Source organism: Homo sapiens, chromosome 8 (genome assembly GCF_000001405.40).
Source record: "Homo sapiens chromosome 8, GRCh38.p14 Primary Assembly".
In the NCBI taxonomy this organism is placed as follows: Eukaryota; Metazoa; Chordata; class Mammalia; order Primates; family Hominidae; genus Homo; species Homo sapiens.
The window spans coordinates 22,541,414-22,562,571 of record NC_000008.11 but is presented as its reverse complement, the minus strand read 5'-3'; the positions used below and the strand labels follow the sequence as shown (position 1 = coordinate 22,562,571).

Below are 21,158 nucleotides of genomic sequence, written 5' to 3'. Positions count from 1 at the left end.
GTTTCAGCCATGCTAATGAGACGAGTCCTTCCCTGCAAGGGAATAAGAAACTCAAGGATTTAACTCTGAGAGCAAAGATCCTGATTCCCACGGTGGTGCTGACCCCGCCAGGGCCCCAGCAGCCGGGCGGAGCCTGTGGTTTGCACAGAGGAAAGGAATGTCATCCTTATCCCTCCAAGGGGCTCCTCTCTCTGTGCTATCAGGCTGGAACTTGGGTTCTTCCATATCCCTTGTTTTCTCTCAGGTTTCAAAGTGGACAGCGCCAGGTCCAAGTTCCCCTCAACAGTTCTGTCCACGGCTGTCCTGGCCGCCCCACTCCCGGTCTCATAAGACCGGTGGGATCTTTGGGGCAAAGAGTTCCTGCTGCTGACCACAAACGCATCACAGGCGTTCCTGGCCAGGAGCGGGTGCCAGGTCCACTCTTGCCTACCCTTCCCCCCTTGACCCTGTAGGGAAGAGAGTCTATGGGGGTGGTGGAGACCCAGAGATGGGACAGAGCCCAGACGGACACGGAAGTGAGACCCCACTCCTGGCTGGGCTCCGAGGCTGTGCCGGCTGTGGTCACGAGGGGGCGCCCGTCCCATGGTGTCTCGCGGGCCGCGCCCCTCCGCAGCCCTCGGCCCCGCCCCACTGTGCTCACCCACTGGAAGATGTTGCCGGGCCGGGCCTGTGGGCAGGTCTTTGCTGGGCTCCTAGATGCCTGGGGTCTGCAGAGGAGGTACACGAGGAAAGCATTGAAGGTGGGAGGAGACAGGCCGTGACTGGGGCTGAGGGTGCCTGGGTGATTATTTAGAGTTTCAGCACCACCCCCTTGCTCCTGGGTGGATGGTGGGGGCAGGGTGGTTGGTGCTCAGGGACACTGAACGCGGGCATTGCCCTCAGAGCTTTACGACATTTACTACATCTTCAAAACAACTCCGAGTAGGTGATGATCTCATCTTATAGATGAGGAAAGGGAGGCCCAGAGAAATCCCGGCCAGGGAGTGGCAGAGCGCGCGTTCCCCGTGCAAGCTGAGGCTGTTAATTACCACCTACCGGGGGATTTGAAGTGCTCTGGAAATGAGCTATAAAAACCTCTCAGGTTGAACTGAGCCAACTGGAGAGCCCCAAAGCCAGGCGGGGCTGCGAGTCCCAGCCCCAGGGAGGGGCGGACGCAGGCGCAGGGCTATGGCAGGCAGGTGGGCCCGCATCCCCTCACCTCTGGGTGGCTCCTCGAAGGTCCAGTCCAGCTGCAAGTCTGCAGGAGCAGAAGGGACCAGGTCATGGGACGGGGCAGAAAGCAAGGGCAGGGTGCCCTGGGAGGCAACCTCAGCCGCTCCCAACATCCCTAGAGTAGGGGGCTGAGGGCTGAGTCAGGGCCTGAAGAATGTCCCAAGGGAGGGAAGGAATTAGGAGGGCAGCTCTCTGGAGGGCTTGAAATGCCTCTGGCAGGCTTGGGGCCTAAGCGAGCCAAGCGGGCAGCCGCCTTGCCCAAGCCCTCCTGCTCCTCCCTCCCTGTTCCCACACACACCCTCTCCTGACCTTTGTGGACTTGCCCTCACCACTCAGGCTGGGGAAACTCGACTTGCACCCTCTTCCAAACGCTTTCCTTCCCCATTTGCCAAGACCCACTCCTAGCTCCTCAAGGTGCCTGGGAATTTCTGGGGCTTCCTGGAAAGAGCTACTGACCCACTGCTCCCCACGGCGCGTGCGCGCGCGCACACACACACACACACACACACACACACACACACACACACGCATGCGCTGCAACGGCACCTGCCTAAACGCCAGCCACATCACCCCTCACTGGACCCCACACCCTCCTCTGACTCCTGGATTTGTCTGCTTTCCCCCATAGTAAACTGTAACCAGTGACCATAAAGACCACACCATCTCCAATCCCCCTACTCCCCGTCTCCCTAAACAGGCTTTTGCTCACCACTGCCCAACCACTCACTCTTATCAAGGATGCTGGTGACCTCCACGTTGCCAAATCTGACAGTCAATTCTAAGTATTCATCTTACTCAACCCATCAGCTGCATTTGTCACCACTGGTCACATTTTTCTTTTGGAATTCCCTTTCCACTTGGCCCCAGGGAGATCTCTCCGTTTTCCTCCTACCTCCCTGGCTCTACCTTCTCAGTTGCCTTTTTGGTTCCGCCTCATCTCTCAAACTTCTAAGCATCCAGGTGCGTGGGGGCTCAGTCCTGGGGTCTGTTTGTCTCTCTATCTCCCTAGGTGATCTTGTCTAGTCTTATGGATTGTTGTTTTTCAGAGACGGGATCATGCTATGTTGCCCAAGCTGGACTTGAATTCCTGGGCTCCCAGGAATTGAATTGAACTCCTCAGCCTGCCAAATAGCTGAGACTGCAGGTGTGTGCCACCACACCCAGCTAGTCTTAAGGCTTTTAAAACGCCATCTATTCCCATGTTTCACAATCTTGGCTGCTAGTTAAAAGTTTAAAGTTTCCCCACTAGAATTACTGGGGAAACTTTAAATCAAAATCTCTCTCTTCTTTTTTTTTTTTTTTTGAGACTGAGTCACCCAGGCTGGAGTGCAGTGGGGTGATCTCAGCTCACTGCAACCTCTGCCTCTCAGGTTCAAGCAATTCTCCTGCCTCAGCCTCTGGAGTAGCTAGGATTACAGGTGCACACCACCATGCCCAACTAATTTTGGTATATTTGATAGAGACAGGGTTTCGCCATGTTGGCCAGGCTGGTCCCAAAATCTCTTTTGAATGAGTCCCAGGTATTTCCATCTGCAGTTTTAGACCTTGTCCCGTGAACTGCAGACTTGGATATTCATCTGCTTACTCAACCTCTTCACTCAGAGGGAACATGTGTCTAAAACTGAACACCTCTTTTCTTTTTTTCTTTTTTTTTTTAGAGACAGCGTCTTGCTCTATTGCCCAGGCTGGAGTGCAGTGGAATGGTCTCAGCTCACTGCAACCTCCGCCTCCCAGGTTCAAGCAATTCTCCTGCCTCAGCTTCTCGAGTAGCTGGGATTACAGGTGCATGCCGCCACATCCAGCTACTTTTTTGTATTTTTTAGTAGAGATGGGGTTTCACCATGTTGCCCAGGCTGGTCTCGAACTCCTAAGCTCAGGCAATCCACCCACCTTGGCCTCCCAAAGTGCTAGGATTACAGGCGTGAGCCACCGCGCCCGGCCTGTGAATGCTACTCCTACAGTCTTTTCTGTTTTGACAAATGGCAACTCCAATCTTCAACTTGCTGAGGTTTAAAACCATCCTTGACTCTCTCTTCCAAGCCACGTCCAATCCATCAGCAAATTCCAGTGACTGCAGTGTATTCAGAGTCTCATCCTGTCCCACCAGGGCCACTGCTACCGCCCTGGTCTAACACACGATTATCTCTCCCCTGGATTGAAGCAAAGTTGTAAAGGTGGCCTTTTCTCCCTAGCCCTTACCAGGCAAGGGAACTGGTTCCACCATTCCTTTCCCACCCCACAGCCAGGCACAATCTTTTCAGCCATTACTTGTCAGAGCATGGCACTCTTCCGCTCAGTGGCTCCTCCTTATTTGCACCGTAAAAGCTGAAGTCCTTATAATGGCCCACAAGGCCCCACGTACCCTGACACCACCACCTCTCTGACTCCATCTCCCACCACATGCTCCTCGCTCCAGGCCAGGCTCTCCTTGCCCGTCCAGAACATGCTTCTACCTCTGGGTCTTCGGAGCTCCCTTTGCTGGAATGCTTCCCCCAGCTCTGCCAGGCCGACTCCTTCACTCCCTCCATGGTCTGATCAAACACCGCTTACAAATGACCTTCCTGGCCGCTCCTGGGTGAAGGAGCAGCCTCCCTGCATGGGGCACTCTCCCAGTCTGGCTTTATTTTTCCCTAGCCCTTTCCACCATCTGTCATGTCAAAGGTGTGTCTGTTTATTGTGTGACTTCCTTTGATCTTTGGCACCTAGAATAGTGCTCAGCATGTGGTACATGCTCAATAGATGGTCAAGGACTCACTGAATGGATGGGTGACCTCGGAGCCAGCTCATAGGCACCCCCAGGGTTGGCTGCATTTTGAGTTGTGGAAGAAAGCAATGCCTCCAGTAAGGGAATGACCGCTAACAGTGGCATTCCAGCTTGGCAGGGAAATCAGAGAGGGACTTAAGGAAAGGAATGGCTTCTCAGTCCCCTCAGAGGACACTGTGGGACAGTGGCTGGTCAATGTTCTTCTTGGGGATGCTCTGGAGACCGCTGCTGGCCCCGAGTACAGGGAGGGGACTGCCTATTTTCAGGACTACTCATTAGAGCCTGGGAGAAGGTGGAGAAGAACCCCTTGAGCAGCTAAGTCCCCTTTTCTTTCCCTGTCTCTCCAAGCCCCAGGGGCCAGAATCCACTTTGGCAGGGAGAGGGCCCTGGAAGGGTATCTTACCTGGCATTTTCCGGTGAATCTGCTGGAACATTCTCCGGTACCAGTCTCTGGGTCTGTCAACGCTCTGGGATCAGAAAATGCAAAGTCAGTCCTCCCTGCTTATTCACCCTCCCAATTTCAAGCCACAAAAATCTTTCCCTAGTGAGTCCCTTCTCTGGCCATCCCTGAACCCCCCATAGGTGGGCTGGGAAATGCTTCTCTTGCGATCTCTTTAATAACAATAGCTTCATGTAACACGTCCTATATAAGTAAGATATATGACAAGATCTCCATCGAAGTGTATGCAATAATGATGTTATGAGATTTGGGGCAATTTACATTTTTTCTCTTTGCTTTTCTTTATGTCTAGTGTTTCTACAAAGAACATTTTTCTTTTGTGGGGAGACAGGGTCTCCTGTGTCACACAGGCTGGAGTGCAGTGGCATGATCATAGCTCACTGCAGCCTCCAATTCCTGGGCTCAAGCAATCATCCTGCCTCAGCCTCCTGAGTAGCTGGAACTACAGTCGTGCACCACCTTGCCTAGCTAATTTTATTTTATTTTTTTTTTTATAGAGACAGGGTCTCACTATGTTGCCCAGGCTGGTCTGGAACTCTTGGTTTCAAGCAATCCTCCCGCCTTGACCTCCCAAAGTGCTGGGATTACAGGCGTGAGTCACTGCACCTGGGCCAAAAATGACAGCAATAATGTAGGAGTGAGATGCGTGTTTCACATCACCTGCTTCATCCAAGCCTCAAAACAGCCTCAAAACAGGAAGGGAATGTTACCAGCTCCAATTTCCAGATGAGAAAATGGAGCTGGCTCAAGACACAAAGGTGGATGGAAAAGGGCAGGGTATCCCCAGTCCTAACTGGACCCCCGGATCCTTCCACGCTTGCCACAGTGAGAGACCTTCTCACACAAGACTCACTCACTCATTCGGCCGGTCAGTCATTCATTCAGCAACCATTTCATGAGCGTCGTGACAGGCCCTGGGGATATGAAACTAAGAGAGGGTCCCCTGCAGCCTCAGGCCTTACAGCAGGGGTTCTCTACCTTTGAGGCCCTGATGAGAGTTCTAGATCTGTACCCCGCACAAACCACTTGAGCAACTCAGGCACACGAGGGTGTCTGCAGCTTTATGAGGTTTACAGCCGCTGAACCCCACCACGGTTGAACCCCTGCTTAATCTGGGATGGTTTGGGTGCGGCCTTTATTGCCCCACCCCCATTTTAATGCACAGAAGTGCAGCTCCCTGTAGATCCCTGGGCCCCATCTCTCCGTGGCCCCCAGCCCTGGACTCACGGATCGGGGGGCAATGGGCATGCCGCTCTCGTCCACGGGCCCGATTCCCTCGTACTTGACCCAGCGCTTGTCCCGACGCTTGCTGTCCTTGGTCCACGTGGCTGACCAGTTCTGGGTGTGCTGGGAGGCAGGGATCTTTGTGCTTGCAGAGGGCTTGCTCCCAGGGCCTGGCCAGGTCTGATACCACGCAGGGTCTGTTGGGTGCGTGCAGGAGAGCATTAGTGAAAGGCAGGGGTCTCCACCTGAACCTGTGTGTCCCTTAGCTCCTCAGAGCATGGATCTCTGTGGGTTCAAAGTTTCAACATCGCCTTGTTTGTTTGAGTGGATGACTCAGAGCACCACGGGCCTCTGTTTGTTTAAGTGAATTTAAATGGATTTGATCTTGAGAATGCCGTGCCTGGCCCTACCCCCATCCTTCTTTCCTGGGACTATCCTAAGTGCTTTCAGAATAAGGTCTGGAAATCATTACTTGTAGAGAATGCAGGGGACATCCCAGCTGGGGTGTGGCAGTAAAGATGCTGGGCTTAGAGGGGACAGACTTGAATTCAGACCCCAGCTCTACCACCTATTGGCTGCCATGGCCTGGGGTACATCAGTCACCTTCTCAGTGTCTCAGTTTCCACTTCTGTAAAACAAGGGTCATTGTGACAAGGATTCAGTGACATCTAGCGTGTGTGACTGTACCCAGCACAGTGCCTGGCACACAGTCGAGAGGCTCTCAGTGAAGGTCAGAAACCCATTCCCCAGACATGGTTGTGACTGAGTCCTCAACTTACCCATAAGTGTTAGCCTCTAAGTAGCTAGGGCAGCAGAATAAGGGCTTTGAGGCCAGATGTACAAGTGTGTGAATTGCAGCTCAGCCTCTATGGCTGAACATCTCTGCGAATGGGGTTCCTTACTGGGAAGCTGTCAGTCATCATCACCCCTACTTTGTCAGGATATCGAGGGGTTAAACGAGGTGAGCCTCGTAAAGTGTTTTTACAGTGTCCAGCACGCTCTGGGTGTTCCATAATTGTGTGGGTGTTTTTTTTGGTTTTGTTTTGTTTTTGTTTTTGTTTTGAGACAGTTTTGCTCTTGTTGCCCAGGCTGGAGTGCAGTGGCACGATCTCAGCTCACTGCAACCTCCACCTCCCAGGTTCAAGTGATTCTCCTGCCTCAACCTCCCAAGTAGCTGGGATTTCAGGCACCCGCCACCACACCCAGCAAATTTTTGTATTTTTATTAGAGATGGGGTTTCACCATGTTGGCCAGGCTGGTCTCGAACTCCTGACCTCAGGTCATCCACACACCTCAGCCTCTCAGTGTGTGTGTGTTTTAAGTGACAGGGTCTTGCTGTGTCATCCAGGCTGATAGAGACAGGGTCTTGCTATGTTGCCCAGGCTGGATAATTGTTAAATGAATAAATTCCTTTACACAGCACCTGTCTTAGGGGAATGCTTGATAAAGGATGTCACTTTAGGAGAGACATGTTCAGGGCTGGCCTGCACCCAGGAGTTCCCAGGACCTCTGGACTGGGATCTAGAACTGCCTCTCTAACCTCCTGCTGGGTAGCCTGTTGGGCCTGAATGGGACAGTCTCCACCCCTTCCCAAGCCAACAGATACCCACATCACCTCCACCCTTCCATCCCCAGTCCCTGTGGGAGGTCCTCCGGCGCCCAGGGCTCCTGCACGCTTCCTTTCCCTGGCACCAGGCTGGAGGGCAGGGGAAGGGATGCATCAGCCTGCTCTCCCCAAGCGGGTGTCTCTTGCAGAGTCAGCAGGCTCCGCAGGGAGGGGCTCATAGTGAGCCCAGAGGCCTCTGAGGAACCTCCTCATGGCCTTGAGAACCCCATCTCCAGCTGCTGCCCCTCCCGCTTGACACAGGGCAGTGCCAGATGGCAGGGCCCTGACCCTCCATCTCCAGCATGAGGCTCCTGAGCAGACCTACCCGGGTGCTGGGAAGCATCTCGTCTTGGTGTGTAGCCCCCATTGCACACAGTCCTGGGCGCGGGGTCGTGGAACTGGAAATTAAGGGTGTTGGAGCCACCATTCCGGATCACGGGCACCTGCGGGGAGGGGCCAGGAGCGGCAGCTCAGGGCCCAGCAGGGCGGGAGGGAGGGATGGCTACTAGGCACAGCCCACACCCCTCGGTGACAGTCCCAGGCCCGCCTGACGATTTTGTGGGAAACCAGCGAGGCCCCCCAGAGCTCTCTTCAGCCCTCCCTCCATCCCTTTCATCCTCCTGCCCCCACCTGACCTGCTAGCGTCCCAACCAACTCCGGGCCCGCAGGACACCCTCCTCCCTACTGACTCACTCACCCGTGTCCCCCGGGAGGAAGACCCTATGTGGGACTGGAGGTGGCCAGGGATGAAGTCGTCCAGGCTGAGCCCAGCGCGGAGGCTGCGGGGTGGGCCCTGCATGCTTGGGTCAAGGTGGGAGGACTCCGGGCAAGCCAGCTGCTCCTCTGCGTGTCCTCTGTGGGGAAGGAGGAAGGAAGGGAAAGCCCTGCTAGGCTAGGCTGCCCATGCCCTCTTGGCTCGACCCTGGGATAGGGGAGGAGGGGCCGGCTGTGGGAGGGGGTCAGGACCAGCTGGGTACTAGCTCAAGGACCCAGGAAACAGGCCACGCCAGGCACCCGCCTGCAGGCTGCCCGTGCCTGCCGGCTCCCAGGGGCACAATGGACCACTTGTTAGGCCCAGGGCAGGAGCTCCGGGTGGGAGTGGGGGAGGGGGAGCTTGGGTGAGGAGGAGGGGAGGGGCTGGCCAGGAGCCCGTGGGGCTCTCCCTGCACGGGTGCAGCTGGCTTCCCCACTCCCCCGGAGGGAAGGCGCAGGGGAAGTGGGGCAGCCGGCAGAGAGGGGGCCTGGGAACACAGGACTTTGTTTCAGTTCCCTCTGCCTCCCCCAGGCCGTGTGGGCATCTCTTGCCTGCGGGCACAAGGGATTACTCAGCCACCCGCCCACTGCCCTCCAGGAAGCAGTCAGCAGGGCCTTAAGCCCAATAGGGCCAAGGGGAGCGTCGGGGGCATTTCCAGGCAGCAAGACCCACTCTTGCGAGCTCACAGGGAGCATCGGGCCCTTCTTTGGCCTCCTTCACAGAATGAGGACTCAGAGGGCTCCGGGTGGGTGGAGACAGAAGCGGTGGGTGAGGGCAGAGCTGAACCTGCTCATGCCCATGGAGAGTTGGTGCTGAGTGCCCTGGGGTGTTCTGCATGTGGGCAAATGTGCACGCACATACACGCGCTCCCTGGCTCCACTTTCTCCCGCCCCTCCAGGCTGTTTTGTGAGTGCAGGGTCTTCCCTGGCAGCACCATGCCTGCCCACAGCCAGCTTCTTCTGCCTCATCCCAAGGCTGGGGAAGGGGAAGGGAGCCCTAGGCACCCAGGGAATGGAGGGGCAAGAGGGGAGCCCAGAGTGGGGGTGCAAGAGGACAAAAAGGGGCTCCCAGTTTGGGGTGTCCAAGGGGGCTTTTTGACCCAGAGCACGGTGCTACGGCGTCCATCCCTCCGCGTCTTGGCTGCTGGACTGGACCAGAAACAGCCAAGCTCTGCCACTGCCCAGGACTGGATGGAATCAGGTTTGCCTGTGCCTGTGGGGTCCTTGGGGGCTCTCAGGGAGGGCTGCAAATGCATCGGGAGGAGCTGTGTGTATGTGTGTGTTGGAATCTGGGTGCAGAGCTGCGAATATGACTTCTGGGGGGACCACCGGAGGGACCACATGAGCTGCATGGGGGTTGTGGGTACAGAGGGGTGTCAGCTGAACAGTGGTGGGAGGTGCAGTCATGTGAGCAGTGGAAGAGTTGGGGGCCCAGAGGGGATGAAGGTAGAATAAGGCTGGGATGACTCAGCCCCTGGACCCAGCTCCTGCCCAGGGCTAGCGAGGGTGTAGCCAAGGCTGGGGGCAGCTCCTTGTCTCTGGTTTGAGTTTGTGGGGACTCCTGACATTTGAGTTGCTGCGACACAGCTCTTCTGTGCCCATGCCTGACTGGGGGGAGTGGAGGGCTGAGGCTGGAGGAGGAGCAGCTCCCCAGCTGGGTCCAATTAGGACTCCCACCAAAGCAAAACAGGCAGACACACCCCAGTCCCCACACTCCACCTCCCCTTGCGGGGGGGAGTTGAGGCAGGGTGGGGTGGAAGGTCAGGAGACCTGGAGCTGGTCGGCTCCTCGCAGCACCCCTCCCTGCCCAGCTGACTGCTTCGGGCCAAATTGCAGCTCAGCAGCTGCCGCCTGGGCCATCAGCTGACAGCGCCTTCCTTCCCTGACCTCCCCGCCCACCTCGTGCTCGGTGAGAACTGCTCTCTTGGAGGATGGGTAGGGCAGGAGGTCCCCCACGACCCGTAGTCAGAGGTTGCTTACCCTTGGTGCCCCCATCTGCCCCTTCTCAACCCTGCCCCTTGTGTCGCCCCCCACCACAGGAACCTCCAGGGAAGGGTGGTCCGAGTCCTTCTCTTGGCAGCCAGGTCAGGAGACTTAGGGAGGACTTACAAGGAAGAGGGCAGCATCTGGGGACTGGTCCCCCATGTAGCAGAGAGCGGAGGGGTCCTCCCAGAATTCAGACCTCCCCTCCAGGCAGGCAGCCAGCCCCGGGAGCGGGGAGAGGCCCCTGGAGCGGGAGAGGGGAGGCGGCTCTGCTGGGGTGGGCACTGGCCTCCCTGCTCTGAACACTGCCCTGACCTTGGGTGCCTGGCCCTAAGAGCTTTCCCAGGTATTTCTCAGCGACAAGGCCACGTGGACAAGGACAGCTTTTCTTGAATTTCGCTTTTTCTGGTATGAGGGCTGGTGGGAGGTACTTCCCAGAGTTTGGGACGCGGACCCCGGGGAGGGGCTAGGTGCGATTCCCTGGGGTTGGGCACGGATCCCTCCCGCCGGCCTCGCCTACTCCCCGCCCCTCCTTGCCCGGACCTACCTTCCCCGGCGAGCAGGTGGCTGGGCCCGAGGCCGCCCGGGAGCGCAGGAGCATCCCTGCCCGGCTGCTGCCTGGCGCGGGCGCTCGAGGAGGAAGGGCAAGGAGAAGCGCGGGCCGTCGCGGCCCTCGTGACCGGGTCAGGACGGGCCGGGCCGGGCCGGGCGCCGGCGCAGGAAGAGGGAGGCCGAAGGGGCGCGCGCCGGAGGCCGGACCGTGAGAGTCGCGCGGCGGGGCGGGCGGAGTTTGGGTCTCGGATCTGGACTGCGGGCCGGGGCTGGGCCGGAGAGGAGGGACGTGCGAGTGCTCTCCGTCCGTCGGGGCGCGCGCGGGGACACTGGTGGCCCCCTGCCGAGGAGGCCTGGCCGGCGGGGAGGCGGCGCCGGGAGGGGCCGCCGAGGGTCCCCGGGGAGCCCTCTCTGGTTTCCCAGCTGCCATCCCGGCCCCTACCGCAGGGCTGGCGTCGGGGAGGGGTCGGGCGGCCCGACACGGGCCACTCAGAGTTTCCAGCGACATTTCCAGAGTGTGGGAAGCGAGCGGCCTCGCAGCGGAGCCAGGACAGGGGCAGGAGCGATGAACCGGGCGGAGCCAGGACAAGGGGGCAGGAGTGGTGAACTGGGCAAGCCGGGAGAGACGGACAGGCCGGGAGCGAGATGAGGGCGCCCCGCAGGCAGAGTGGCGGAGCGGACCAGGGGAAGGCCCCGCCGCCCCTCCGCGCTGGGGGAGAGGGTGTGCCTGCGGCGGCGCGCGGCCGGTCGTGTGCAAACAAACACGCGCGCGTACACTGCAAACGTGGGGACGCTCACACACGTGCAAGCACAGGGAGGAAATCAGCCCAAGGGAGCGGCCCCCCCGGGCGTGCCGCGCCCCTAAAGAGGATAAGGGTGGGGTCCCTTTGGCGGGGATGGGATTAGGAGGGTCTTGGTGTTCCCAGACACTGTGTTTGTTTTGATCTGCCTGCTTTTCCGCTGTTCTCGCTGCTCTGAGCTGGGTCCCCAGAGCCCCGGCCCTTCCGGCTCCCCATCCATTCTGGTCATCCCCTCTCCCTGTCTCTGCCCCAAGCCTCTGTATGGCACTTCAGAAAGTGGGAATGCTTAAGGAACATTGAAGGACCGTGGAAACACTCTGGAATCCTTTCTGGCCCTTGAGTTGGCTCAGGGATCCCCAAGCCCCAAACCAGCCAACCAACCAACAGTTACTGATCAACTTTAGCTACGAGCTGGGAGTGATCAATGCTAAATTATGAAAACTAACGTAATCTCCTGCATTCCTACTGGGTGTCAGACTGGTGCCAGAGGCCACGAGGAGTTTTGGAGTGTTTTCCAAGCTCACCACTCAACTCAAAGTTTGGAAAGAAAGAGAGTAGAGAAAAGACTAAGTGATTTTCAGTCCCTACCACCATTACTGCTTTAGTCTTATCTTCTCCCTCGTTCTGGTAAAGAAGCTCTCCCCGTTGCCTTGAAACATCACATGTGAAAGCTGGAGGAGATGTTTGGGTTGAGAAGCTTCAGATAGGCCTGCTGGCCTCTAGCGCCTGCGGGGCTGCCATGTGGACACACAGCTGCACCAGCAGCAGTGGGACCACTGGGGGACACGTCATAGGGAAGCAGGTCCAAGGCTTCCCAGGACAAATTTTTACATGATTCCAGGGGTTCTGAGTCTGCCAGTTGTGGGGCATCTATGTAAAGGCAACTGTTGCACTGAGCGGGGAGCTGAACAAGATGACCTTGAAGACTCCTTCCAAGAACCTCTGACTCTCCAGGAAGGCGGAGAGATGGGGATGGCAGGGGCATTGCTGTGGAGGACAGCTGAGCAGTGGGGGAACCCTGGGACACTTCTTGAGGGACGCAGCAGTGCACTGCCCCCCAACCTGAAGCTTAGAAACCTTCTTATCCACGCCAGGTAGCCTCTTCCCTCCCTCAGGGATAAAATAGGTGCCCATTTTCTTAGACACGCATTTTTCCCACCTGTCAGGGTCCTTGGGACTAAGAAGGACCACATCGCTTTCACTTTCTTCCTTCTTCTCCCAAGATGGTGAAGCTGAAGCTCTTCCGACTCCAGGAATCCTGGCCATACCCCCTCACCAGCAGCAAGCTTCTCTTATTCTCTAGGGCTCTGACCTGGACTCCAAGATAAATATTTAGTGTAGAGGGTGCAGCAGAGCTGACAAAGTTCCCCACTTCCTGTTTCTCACAAAGGGAGGTGGCAGCCATGGGTAAGGAGCTGGGGACTGGCTACCAGTTTCATCTCTATGGGAATCGGGCGTTGAGTAAACAGCTTTGCAGGAGGAGGCGGGGTAGGTCTACGGGAGACCTGAGCTTTCTTCCTGAGCCGCTTTGACTTCTGCCTGTCTACTTAGGCCTGGGCTCTGCCGGGTTTATCACCTCTCTCAGGTCAGAATCCACCATGTTCCGTGGTGCCCATCTGGCCTCACAGCCGAGAGGATGGGAGACAGTGGGCCACAGGGCAGGGAAAACATAAGGAAATTTGACTGATTCCTCCCTTTCTGCCCTTATCTAAAGAGAAGAATTCCTTCTCTTTGAAAAGTAGATTAAGGGGGGAAAAGTAGCAGGGTTTGGAGATTGAGCCAGGAACCAGGTGTCTGATTTCCCGACGCCTCCCTCTAGCGTCAGCTCCCCTTGCTGCCTCCACAGCTGGCACGGTTAGGGAGAGGCTGAGGCTGGGAAGATTGTCCTAGATAAGGCGGCTGGCCGGCTGGCTGTCAACAACAGAACAGATTCCTTTCCTTTCCAAATCCCACTGCACTCTCTCCTTTGCATGCACGACTCCCCTGTCTAAGAGGGGCCTCCCTCCCTGCAAGTCGCGGCTTCCCCACCTCTGGCACTGCCCTTTGTCAGGGGCTGCCTCTGCCTTCTCAGAGCCACCTGAGCCACAGTAAACACAGTTACATAACTGCCCTGTTTTCCCAGCTACCTGATCCCAGGCATCAGTATTCCCCGCTCAAGCCCTTGAGGCTGCACCTTTTGTTCTGTGGGTAGTCCCCAACATCACCGTCAACAGGGGTCTGTCCACAACCCCCACCCCCCTGCAGGGGAGGATTAGCCACGGGACTACCAGTAAATGTGGCTCTTCACAGGGAGGGGGAGAAGGCGGTGGAATGCGGGTCACTCTGAAAAGCAATCTCTGTCACCAAGGATGACAAATGAGGGGAAAGAGCACTGAAGTGAAGGCGGGGTGAGCGGGGTGGGCAGAGCACCCAGTTTTAGTTCTCAAGTGGGAAAAGGGAAGCCAGGGGTCCCAGAAGACATGAACCCGGACTCAGTTCTTGAGGAGCGCCTTGCTCTGGTGCTGGGAATCGGCAATTCAGATGAGTCACCCTCTGAGATCTACCCTGGGCAGCTAGGCGGCCCTAGCTCTGTGCCTCAGTACCCCCATGGAGATACAGGGCATCTGCTCTTCCTTTCTTCTCCTCCCCAGGGATGAACTTCAGGTGCTTTGAGTAGATTTTTTGGGGGGTTTTGCTCTCAGAATTCTGAGTGTTTTCTTCCTTCCTCTAAGCTGAGCAGTCAGACCAGAAGGGGTTAGCGCAGAAAGCACTGCCCGTTTCCAGCAGTTTGGACTTCTCTAGAAGGCCACAGTGACACAATGGTGAGGAATTGAAACCAAGTCACATGGACATACCAGCAGGAATCTGGACTATGTTTCATGCCCTGGGCTCCATCCCTTTCTCCTGGGTCCTCTGTTGATTCCTGCTCCTGCAAATGTTGCCAGCCAAGTTCTACTGATGGCCCTTTCCATGCCAACCACTCATGGGAACAGGAGCAGGCAGAAGAAGGGAGTGCAAATGACCCATTTTGGGGCTTCAAAGGGCCTCCTATGCTGACAATGGCATGACGTGGCTCATCTGGAATTCAAGATTTCTGGTAGAGTCACTGTAGAGTGAGGGATCTGAGTGAAAAAATACCCAGTACAGGTCAAGTATGATGGGTATTGGGGCCTGACAGCCAGGATGGGTGCATGGAACCCCATAGGAATAGCGAATTAGGCTCTCAGGCTTGCCTGGCACAGACCTTTCCATAGCACACGCATGATGTATAATGGGCATCTATTCTGGGTTCTCAGGGCCAATCTCCCAAAGGCTGCGGGAGAACTCAGCCGTTTGCCCAATTTATCCCGCCTGTCCTCAAGGAAGTTTTGATACTGACATCACATCCACGGCTGTTCTCTCTTCCTCTTTTCATGGATGAGCAAACAAGCACAATGCACAGACGGGGTGTCTTTGAGAAGAACTGAGCTGGGTGAACCTCTCTTAGTTCTCAGGAAAGATGAAACAAACAAGTGGCTGTCAGCTCTAGAAAGTAGATTTTATAAGGGAAGGATAAGTAAGTGATGACCTCAGAGGGAAAACCAAGCCAAGTCAACTCAGCCACAAAGGAGGGCACAGACCCAGGAGCTGGGAAATTAGGTCTGCATCAGCCTTCTTTCCCAGCTCAGGTAGACTGCGATGGGTAGGATAAGAGGGCTGATCTGTTGGCCCAGTGGATACCATAAAGTACGGCTCTGGCCTCCAAACAAAGAAGAACCTTGTCTTCCCACCTCCTTGAATTCTATGATGAACCTTCGCCTTAATAGCATCAACATTAAAAAGTCTGCTTCATTTACCATTAAATTATTCATCTACTGTATCAAAATTACATTTTCTTTCTAAAGCCTGAAAGTTGTGATAAAAAAAAAAAAGGCAAGACCATGCAATTACATGCAGCAGGCAACAAAGTGAGGAACAGATCTAGATGGAGCAACAGGTTAATATGAATTTGCATTGAAGTCCTTCATTTCCAGGCTATTAAAAATCTTTCCACAATTCCAGAAATATGGGCAAATCTTACCTAATTTTACTGAAGGTTTAGCTAAGGTGTAGGGACATTGCTACATCAGGATGCCACTGGGATAACAAAGAACCCAATGCTACTCAGCTTATTGGAAATTAGAAACCTGGGCCCGTTTTCTGGCCTGTAAACTGCACTGTGGCCCTTAATGTGGTTGTATTTAGTGTAAAAGTCACCTCACTTGGACCTGGCAGTGCTGGATTTAGCTTTTCTACCTCTACTGCCATAACCTGTAGAGTCCCCTCACTGACACACTTTCCTCTCCAGGGCCCTGGCTCTTTCCCTATCCCCAATTCCCCACTTGCCCAGGGGAGCTTGTTTTTCCTTGTGAATCCACAGCACCTCATGATATTTCTACTTTTCAGAGGCATGAAAAGGCTAGTCTGACACTTCCCGTTCTTGGTAGGCCAACTCCACATTCAAATCCTCTTTGGCTGCCTTGGCTTCTCCAAGATGGAATTCACCATGTCTATTATTAGGATCACATGCACAGTCATTAAATTACAAGAGTACAAAACTATTTTTATCCTTGGTAAACAATGTATGTTTTCTGGGATGTCTTTCTTCCTTTTCTTCAAGTAGTGGCCTCTATTGGAGAAGCTGCAGAGGGGGCTGGGACTTGGGTAAGAAGGAGGCCAGGGTTGGGGAGTGGATTCTGAGTTGGGAGAAACAGAAACACGTTGTGGCCAACCATAGCTGCTTTAAAATGAAAGGGCTGGAGAGACGAAAGAGAGAGGTCCTTTTTATTGTGATGGGATTCCCTCCCTTGGGAGGGGAATTCCTTGTTATCATCAGAGACCAGACCAGACATCAAAAGCCAGGCTTTCTCCTGGGGTCTGGAATTATTAAATGAGTAAAAGCCAAATATAAGTACCTCCACCAGGAAATACAGGAAATAAAGACACAGGGAGCCAATAAAGTTATCATTTAAGGGTGTTTTCTTCTTTTTTTAAATCTTAAGATTACCTCTAATTTATAGTACAAAAGTCCTAACAAATTAATTTCTTGTTCACAAAAAAGACATTAGATGATTTCGGCCAATAAGTAACATTTCCCTCGCCTTCTTTAACATAACTGAAAGCAAGAAAAAGTAGGCAATCTCTAAGCACAAGCAAATAATCCATCATTCAGAACCTTGAAAAAATATCACACCACCAACTGGTCTGACGTCTTGACCACCTCACCATTTAGGAAGGAATACTGGGGCCCCTTCTTGGAAAATGCCTGCTGACAGAACTATTGGGAAAAACAGCTATGGGGGTCACCATGCACTGAGAAAATAAAAGTTAGGGATTTACAGTGTCATCCTCAAAAAGTTCTGTGACAAAAACACATCTTTATTGCCCCAAATCAAGATCTATGACAGGCCTGCTCCTCATTACATGCATTTCATGTTAAGAGTATTTGGAGACATCTACGTCAAGGGAGTGAAGGAATGTGGGCAAGAACTTACTGGAAGGCAGTGTGCTTGGCCCTACTTCAGAGCTGCTCAGAGGGACAGTCCGCCTCCATGTCCTCACTTCTTAATCTTAAGCCACCTAGACTTGCCATGAGGGCATAGAAGAGGAGATGATGCATAACCCTGTCTCAGACAAAGGTGTTATTTAGCAGGTCTTGCCAAGGTGGCAGGGGCGTGAGGCCAAGGCCTCCCGGGAGGGAATATACTCTCCAGTATCATCTTTACCTTTGTGACTGCATAGATGAAGGCAGCTAACACTGACCCCATTCACTCTCGCTGGCTAGATATAGGCAGGTCAGGTCCCAAACCCCAATGTAATATAGGCTCCCTCTTTCACACTCTGTCAATGGCACAAAGCCCTATTGTTAATACAGTTCTCTACTCACACTCAAGATAAGAGTAAACAACACTGTCCTTCGACTACACAACTTTCTTCCTCTACACACATCTGCTCTGACAGCTTTCCTCCAGGCGTCTCATCACAGCAATACTGAAAGGGACTGTGGCAAGCCAGTTTTGGGACCCGTCCTCCAGGTAACCCGACCCTCCTCAATCCACTGCTGGGCCTTCCTAGGCTGTCCTTTACTCACCTTCTAGCAGGTCTCAGAAAAGATGTGGACCCGGTGCCAGACAAGGTGGAAGCCATGGTTATAACCACAAACAATTTAGGAAATTGGAGCCCATACCCACAGATGGGCCCTGGGTTCACCCTCCCTCTGCCATCTTTTCTGCCTGGGCAAGGAAAGCTGGGTAATGCTTTAGGAGAAACTTGGGTTCCACTGTTACTATAACAACTAGAATAAATATTGGGGATTCTAGAATGGTACCTCAACAAGTCTTTATGGCTTAGGAAATAATTTTCAATGCAGAGATCAGAGAGAAAAACCCAATAATTAATAAAAAGAAAAATTATGAAATCAACCAATCTAGGGCAAGCTCTTCCTAAACCAATTTAATTGATTGGTCACCCAGATTGGTCAGGATGAAAATTCTTTTTTTTTTTTTTTTTTTTTTTTGAGACGGAGTCTCGCTCTGTCGCCCAGGCCGGACTGCGGACTGCAGTGGCGCAATCTCGGCTCACTGCAACCTCCAACTCCCTGGTTCAAGCAATTCTCCTGCCTCAGCCTCCCCAGTAGCTGGGATTACACGCATGTGCCACCACACCCAGCTAATTTTTGTTATTTTTAGTAGAGATGGGCTTTCACCATGTTGGCCAGGATGGTCTCGATCTCCTGACGTTGTGATCCACCGGCCTCAGCCTCCCAAAGTGCTGGGATTACAGGTGCGAGCCACCGCGCCCAGCTTGGATGAAAATTCTTAAAAGGTTAAACTTTATAGATATGGTACAGTTGAAAATTTTGGAGATCAGCTACCATATTTACATAAAATAGGGCAGGGTAGAGGGAGCAGATTTTAGCTTTACTCATTCTGAGGCTGGAGAGACTCCTGAATAATGACCATGAACAGCAAGTCCAGCTGTGTCTCATGCAGGCATGGCTTATAATATTTTTCCTATAGAGATCAGCTGTGCCTCAAACCGTGTGTTTTTAAAGCACTCAGAGGGAAGAGGATCTAAGGGACAATGCCAAAAGGCAAAAAAGGCCCCGAAATTATCCAATTTTTAAAAATCTTCCCTTGCTCCTTAATGACATTCAATAATAGTCTATTGACAAAACAAATAAGGGTTTCTCTGTTCCTATTTTGAACAATGTCAGGAAATCATCCCTAAGTTATCAGGATGGCAAAGAAAGCTAATCTTAAGAAGGCAAATCTTTGCTATTGAGAGAAACTTGCTTCATTGAATTGTTCATGGAAGAACCAAAAAAGGCAATGAAAGACATAAAAAATACTGATGTTCCTGGAGAGGCTGAGTCTTTTACTCCTAGGCAAGGAGCAGTATCAAGCTCATCAGAGTGTGATAAGCAATTCTTACCTTGCCAATCAATATCCAGTCACAAAAGACCAGCAAATCAGCAATGCCTCTACTTGTAACCAAAGTGTCACCTTGAGAGTTTAAGGAAAACGGAGGCTATTTTTGTTTTATCATTCTATTAAAGAAACACACACACACACACACACACACACACACACACACACACCCCCTTGGCTTATTGTTTTGCTTTTGCTCTAAACATTCAGAACACGGAAATAAAAAAAGGATATATGTTTTGAACTTACATTAGATGAGTTTTCAAATTTGTAAAAGAAATAATCATCTGATCGATTTAAATGTCCTGTGATATGTATGTCACTAAAAGTGAGAAACCTGGTCCATGTGAAGCATCATTTTCAAAATGGCATTTCAGAAAAGTTTACAAAGGAGTCCTGACATGCCTGAGGAATTGTTTTGTTTTTGTTTTCCTAAATGGGAGAAGTTGCAGAAAAAGAAGGTCCCTGTGGGCCTTCCACAAGGAAGGTCCTGTGAAGGAAAACACAATGTAACTGTTTCCAGTATCTTTAGCACACACAGGGGGAAACATTCAATAAAACAGAAGAGACTTTGAAAACACCAAAACTGCAGAACTTTGACAGCAATTAAAATGTCTGTTTAATCATGGCCCTAGACAGGAAAAGTAGTCTTCGAGCAAACCCAGGGCAGGGTCCAGCCATCTTGGAAGTTGTTGTTTACATTAAAACAGCTACAGAACGGAAGGGATAACTTTATCTTTAGAATTCAACCGAATTTTCAAACTTAACCTCCTCTAAGAGTTAGTGCTGCTCTAAAACTTACTCAGGTTTTCTTGAACCAGGACCACCTACCTCTCTACTCTGGCTGATTCCTCCACAGCTCAGAGGGAACCAGTGAAATACTGTATATAATTTTGTGATGGTTCTGTCAAGGAAACTTGCTTTATCATTCTGCTTTTTGAGACAATAGTGAAGCCATTCCTAAATAATCATCCGTAATAAAATATTATTTTTTGCTTATAAGGATTTACAGTAACTATTTCTACTACTGCCTGCTTATGGAGGCCCCTAAGAGTGGTTTCTACCTGTGGATTGTATATATGTAACAGCCTTAATGAAAAGGAGAAAAGGGATAAGGTACTAGCAGCTCTGCAGTCTGTCACATGGAATGACTTTCATCAGTGAAATTTCCAAAGACAGGATCTTTTCTAATCCTGGGATTGGAAAAGAAAGGAGCATAAGGATATCTAGGTGCTTAATACCCGATTTGAGTTCAACAACAATCAGGAAAAGACAGTTACTAGAGACTTTTCCCCCCTTCTTTCACAGGTTTTACTCACAACCCATTCAGAGATCCTTTATCTCCTTCCTATCTTTTTATTAATGGAGCAATCTATGCAGGCAGATTCCATTCCCTAAGAGTGCCTTGATTTCTGCCATAAACAAATCAGAAACTGTTAGAAAAAAAGGTATAGGAAAACAGAGATAGATGGGCTAAGTCTTCATTCTTCTAATGAGAAGTATGGTTTTTTGGGGAAAAAAAAAAACACCACCAAAATTATGTTGTTCTTTGTTTTTCTGGTTTCCTGGAAACTCCCAATATGAAGTATTACTGTCTGAAATACTTGCTTTAGTGCTAGACTGCCGCATCACAAATGACACTAAGGAATGCCATAAATGTGCACGTTCCATGCTCTGATGTAATGTTCCCAGGCATGTACATTCACTGCAGAGCTGACCAATGACTATTATGACACGGCTCCTGCGATGAGGCTAGTTAAAATGGGAGCCTAAGTAGCCCCAAAATTTCCTTCACTAGTTGGTTGTGACTTGAAAATCAAACTAAGGGAAGATAATTCACACACTACATCTGAACACTTGCTTTTCGCATTCCAAAATATGCTAATGAAGGCTGAAATACCATTCAACCTAAAGAGTAACTGATATAGAAGACAGGAAATCCTCACTTATCCAATGTTCTTTAGCAAGACCTTCAATTCACAAGGGGACCATTGAACTCTTGTCAGTTTCTACTACCCCAGCTGGTTTCAGTAATACTGACAGGGAACAACAGAAGGATGATGGGAAGGCACATGCGAGAGCTGATGCCAACAGCCTAGAAGGGCATATATACATCTTGTTGTAGAAGGTGCTGCTGAGGGCATTTATCAAATATTTAGAAAGTGACTTCCTTTACAGAAGTCACCTGGGGTTCAAAAATGAAAGTAAAATAATCTGGCAATTGTGAAAGCTTTCTGAAAATCTTTCTCCTCCAAAGTCCTAAGGAAATTTAAACCAATCATGCCCATGGTCAGATGAACAGATTTTAAGTAAATCTAAGAACATCCCTTATTATTTTTTATTTTGTTTACTAGAACATATTTAAACGAACTGAGAG

The 21,158-nt window shown here is 52.2% G+C and overlaps 1 protein-coding gene and 1 long non-coding RNA gene across 9 annotated transcripts in view, besides 13 other annotated features; one reads left to right on the top strand and one right to left on the bottom strand.

The window, feature by feature from the left end:
• The window catches only part of SORBS3 (sorbin and SH3 domain containing 3), a 30,816-nt gene extending 13,217 nt beyond the window's left edge, over window positions 1-17,599 (bottom strand). Inside the window, exons 1-10 of one of the 8 annotated variants that reach the window (XM_047421216.1) lie at window positions 17,443-17,599; window positions 14,713-14,858; window positions 14,189-14,262; window positions 12,514-12,666; window positions 7,964-8,120; window positions 7,592-7,709; window positions 5,664-5,857; window positions 4,380-4,443; window positions 1,199-1,237; window positions 641-707 (exon numbers count right to left, since the gene is read on the bottom strand). In XM_047421216.1, coding sequence (XP_047277172.1) covers window positions 641-707; window positions 1,199-1,237; window positions 4,380-4,443; window positions 5,664-5,857; window positions 7,592-7,709; window positions 7,964-8,120; window positions 12,514-12,620 — 746 coding nt within the window. In that variant the 5' untranslated portion in view covers window positions 12,621-12,666; window positions 14,189-14,262; window positions 14,713-14,858; window positions 17,443-17,599. Of the gene's footprint in view, window positions 1-640; window positions 708-1,198; window positions 1,238-4,379; window positions 4,444-5,663; window positions 5,858-7,591; window positions 7,710-7,963; window positions 8,121-10,549; window positions 10,646-12,513; window positions 12,667-14,188; window positions 14,859-17,442 lie in introns of those variants that run through there. The other 7 variants (XM_047421214.1, XM_047421215.1, XM_047421213.1 and 4 more) reach the window with 7 other exon arrangements.
• Window positions 42-336: a silencer, noted in NCBI's record as "tiled region #12029; HepG2 Repressive DNase unmatched - State 14:Gen5', and K562 Repressive DNase matched - State 4:PromP". NCBI's record gives its function as "represses a minimal TATA promoter and a strong SV40 promoter by Sharpr-MPRA in HepG2 and K562 cells {active_cell/tissue: HepG2 | K562}" and the evidence as "EXISTENCE:reporter gene assay evidence [ECO:0000049][PMID:27701403]".
• Window positions 487-676: a silencer, noted in NCBI's record as "silent region_18990". NCBI's record gives its function as "represses an Ori minimal core promoter by ATAC-STARR-seq in GM12878 lymphoblastoid cells {active_cell/tissue: GM12878}" and the evidence as "EXISTENCE:reporter gene assay evidence [ECO:0000049][PMID:35858748]".
• Window positions 5,649-6,171: an enhancer, noted in NCBI's record as "H3K4me1 hESC enhancer chr8:22413914-22414436 (GRCh37/hg19 assembly coordinates)". NCBI's record gives its function as "activates a minimal SCP1, AML or CMV promoter by ChIP-STARR-seq in primed H9 embryonic stem cells {active_cell/tissue: H9 hESC(primed)}" and the evidence as "EXISTENCE:reporter gene assay evidence [ECO:0000049][PMID:30033119]".
• Window positions 8,447-21,158, top strand: part of LOC124901905 (uncharacterized) — a 72,590-nt gene continuing 59,878 nt past the window's right edge. The window contains exon 1 of the long non-coding RNA XR_007060851.1: window positions 8,447-10,410. This is a non-coding gene — a long non-coding RNA (uncharacterized LOC124901905). The remainder of the gene's footprint in view (window positions 10,411-21,158) is intronic.
• Window positions 8,546-8,625: an enhancer, noted in NCBI's record as "active region_27081". NCBI's record gives its function as "activates an Ori minimal core promoter by ATAC-STARR-seq in GM12878 lymphoblastoid cells {active_cell/tissue: GM12878}" and the evidence as "EXISTENCE:reporter gene assay evidence [ECO:0000049][PMID:35858748]".
• Window positions 8,739-9,614: an enhancer, noted in NCBI's record as "H3K27ac-H3K4me1 hESC enhancer chr8:22410471-22411346 (GRCh37/hg19 assembly coordinates)". NCBI's record gives its function as "activates a minimal SCP1, AML or CMV promoter by ChIP-STARR-seq in naive H9 embryonic stem cells {active_cell/tissue: H9 hESC(naive)}" and the evidence as "EXISTENCE:reporter gene assay evidence [ECO:0000049][PMID:30033119]".
• Window positions 9,615-10,492: an enhancer, noted in NCBI's record as "H3K4me1 hESC enhancer chr8:22409593-22410470 (GRCh37/hg19 assembly coordinates)". NCBI's record gives its function as "activates a minimal SCP1, AML or CMV promoter by ChIP-STARR-seq in naive H9 embryonic stem cells {active_cell/tissue: H9 hESC(naive)}" and the evidence as "EXISTENCE:reporter gene assay evidence [ECO:0000049][PMID:30033119]".
• Window positions 9,758-9,807: an enhancer, noted in NCBI's record as "active region_27080". NCBI's record gives its function as "activates an Ori minimal core promoter by ATAC-STARR-seq in GM12878 lymphoblastoid cells {active_cell/tissue: GM12878}" and the evidence as "EXISTENCE:reporter gene assay evidence [ECO:0000049][PMID:35858748]".
• Window positions 10,478-10,557: a silencer, noted in NCBI's record as "silent region_18989". NCBI's record gives its function as "represses an Ori minimal core promoter by ATAC-STARR-seq in GM12878 lymphoblastoid cells {active_cell/tissue: GM12878}" and the evidence as "EXISTENCE:reporter gene assay evidence [ECO:0000049][PMID:35858748]".
• Window positions 10,708-10,887: a silencer, noted in NCBI's record as "silent region_18988". NCBI's record gives its function as "represses an Ori minimal core promoter by ATAC-STARR-seq in GM12878 lymphoblastoid cells {active_cell/tissue: GM12878}" and the evidence as "EXISTENCE:reporter gene assay evidence [ECO:0000049][PMID:35858748]".
• Window positions 10,708-11,680: a biological region, named in NCBI's record as "H3K27ac-H3K4me1 hESC enhancer GRCh37_chr8:22408405-22409369".
• Window positions 10,716-11,680: an enhancer, noted in NCBI's record as "H3K27ac-H3K4me1 hESC enhancer chr8:22408405-22409369 (GRCh37/hg19 assembly coordinates)". NCBI's record gives its function as "activates a minimal SCP1, AML or CMV promoter by ChIP-STARR-seq in naive H9 embryonic stem cells {active_cell/tissue: H9 hESC(naive)}" and the evidence as "EXISTENCE:reporter gene assay evidence [ECO:0000049][PMID:30033119]".
• Window positions 11,198-11,327: a silencer, noted in NCBI's record as "silent region_18987". NCBI's record gives its function as "represses an Ori minimal core promoter by ATAC-STARR-seq in GM12878 lymphoblastoid cells {active_cell/tissue: GM12878}" and the evidence as "EXISTENCE:reporter gene assay evidence [ECO:0000049][PMID:35858748]".
• Window positions 13,006-13,506: an enhancer, noted in NCBI's record as "H3K4me1 hESC enhancer chr8:22406579-22407079 (GRCh37/hg19 assembly coordinates)". NCBI's record gives its function as "activates a minimal SCP1, AML or CMV promoter by ChIP-STARR-seq in primed H9 embryonic stem cells {active_cell/tissue: H9 hESC(primed)}" and the evidence as "EXISTENCE:reporter gene assay evidence [ECO:0000049][PMID:30033119]".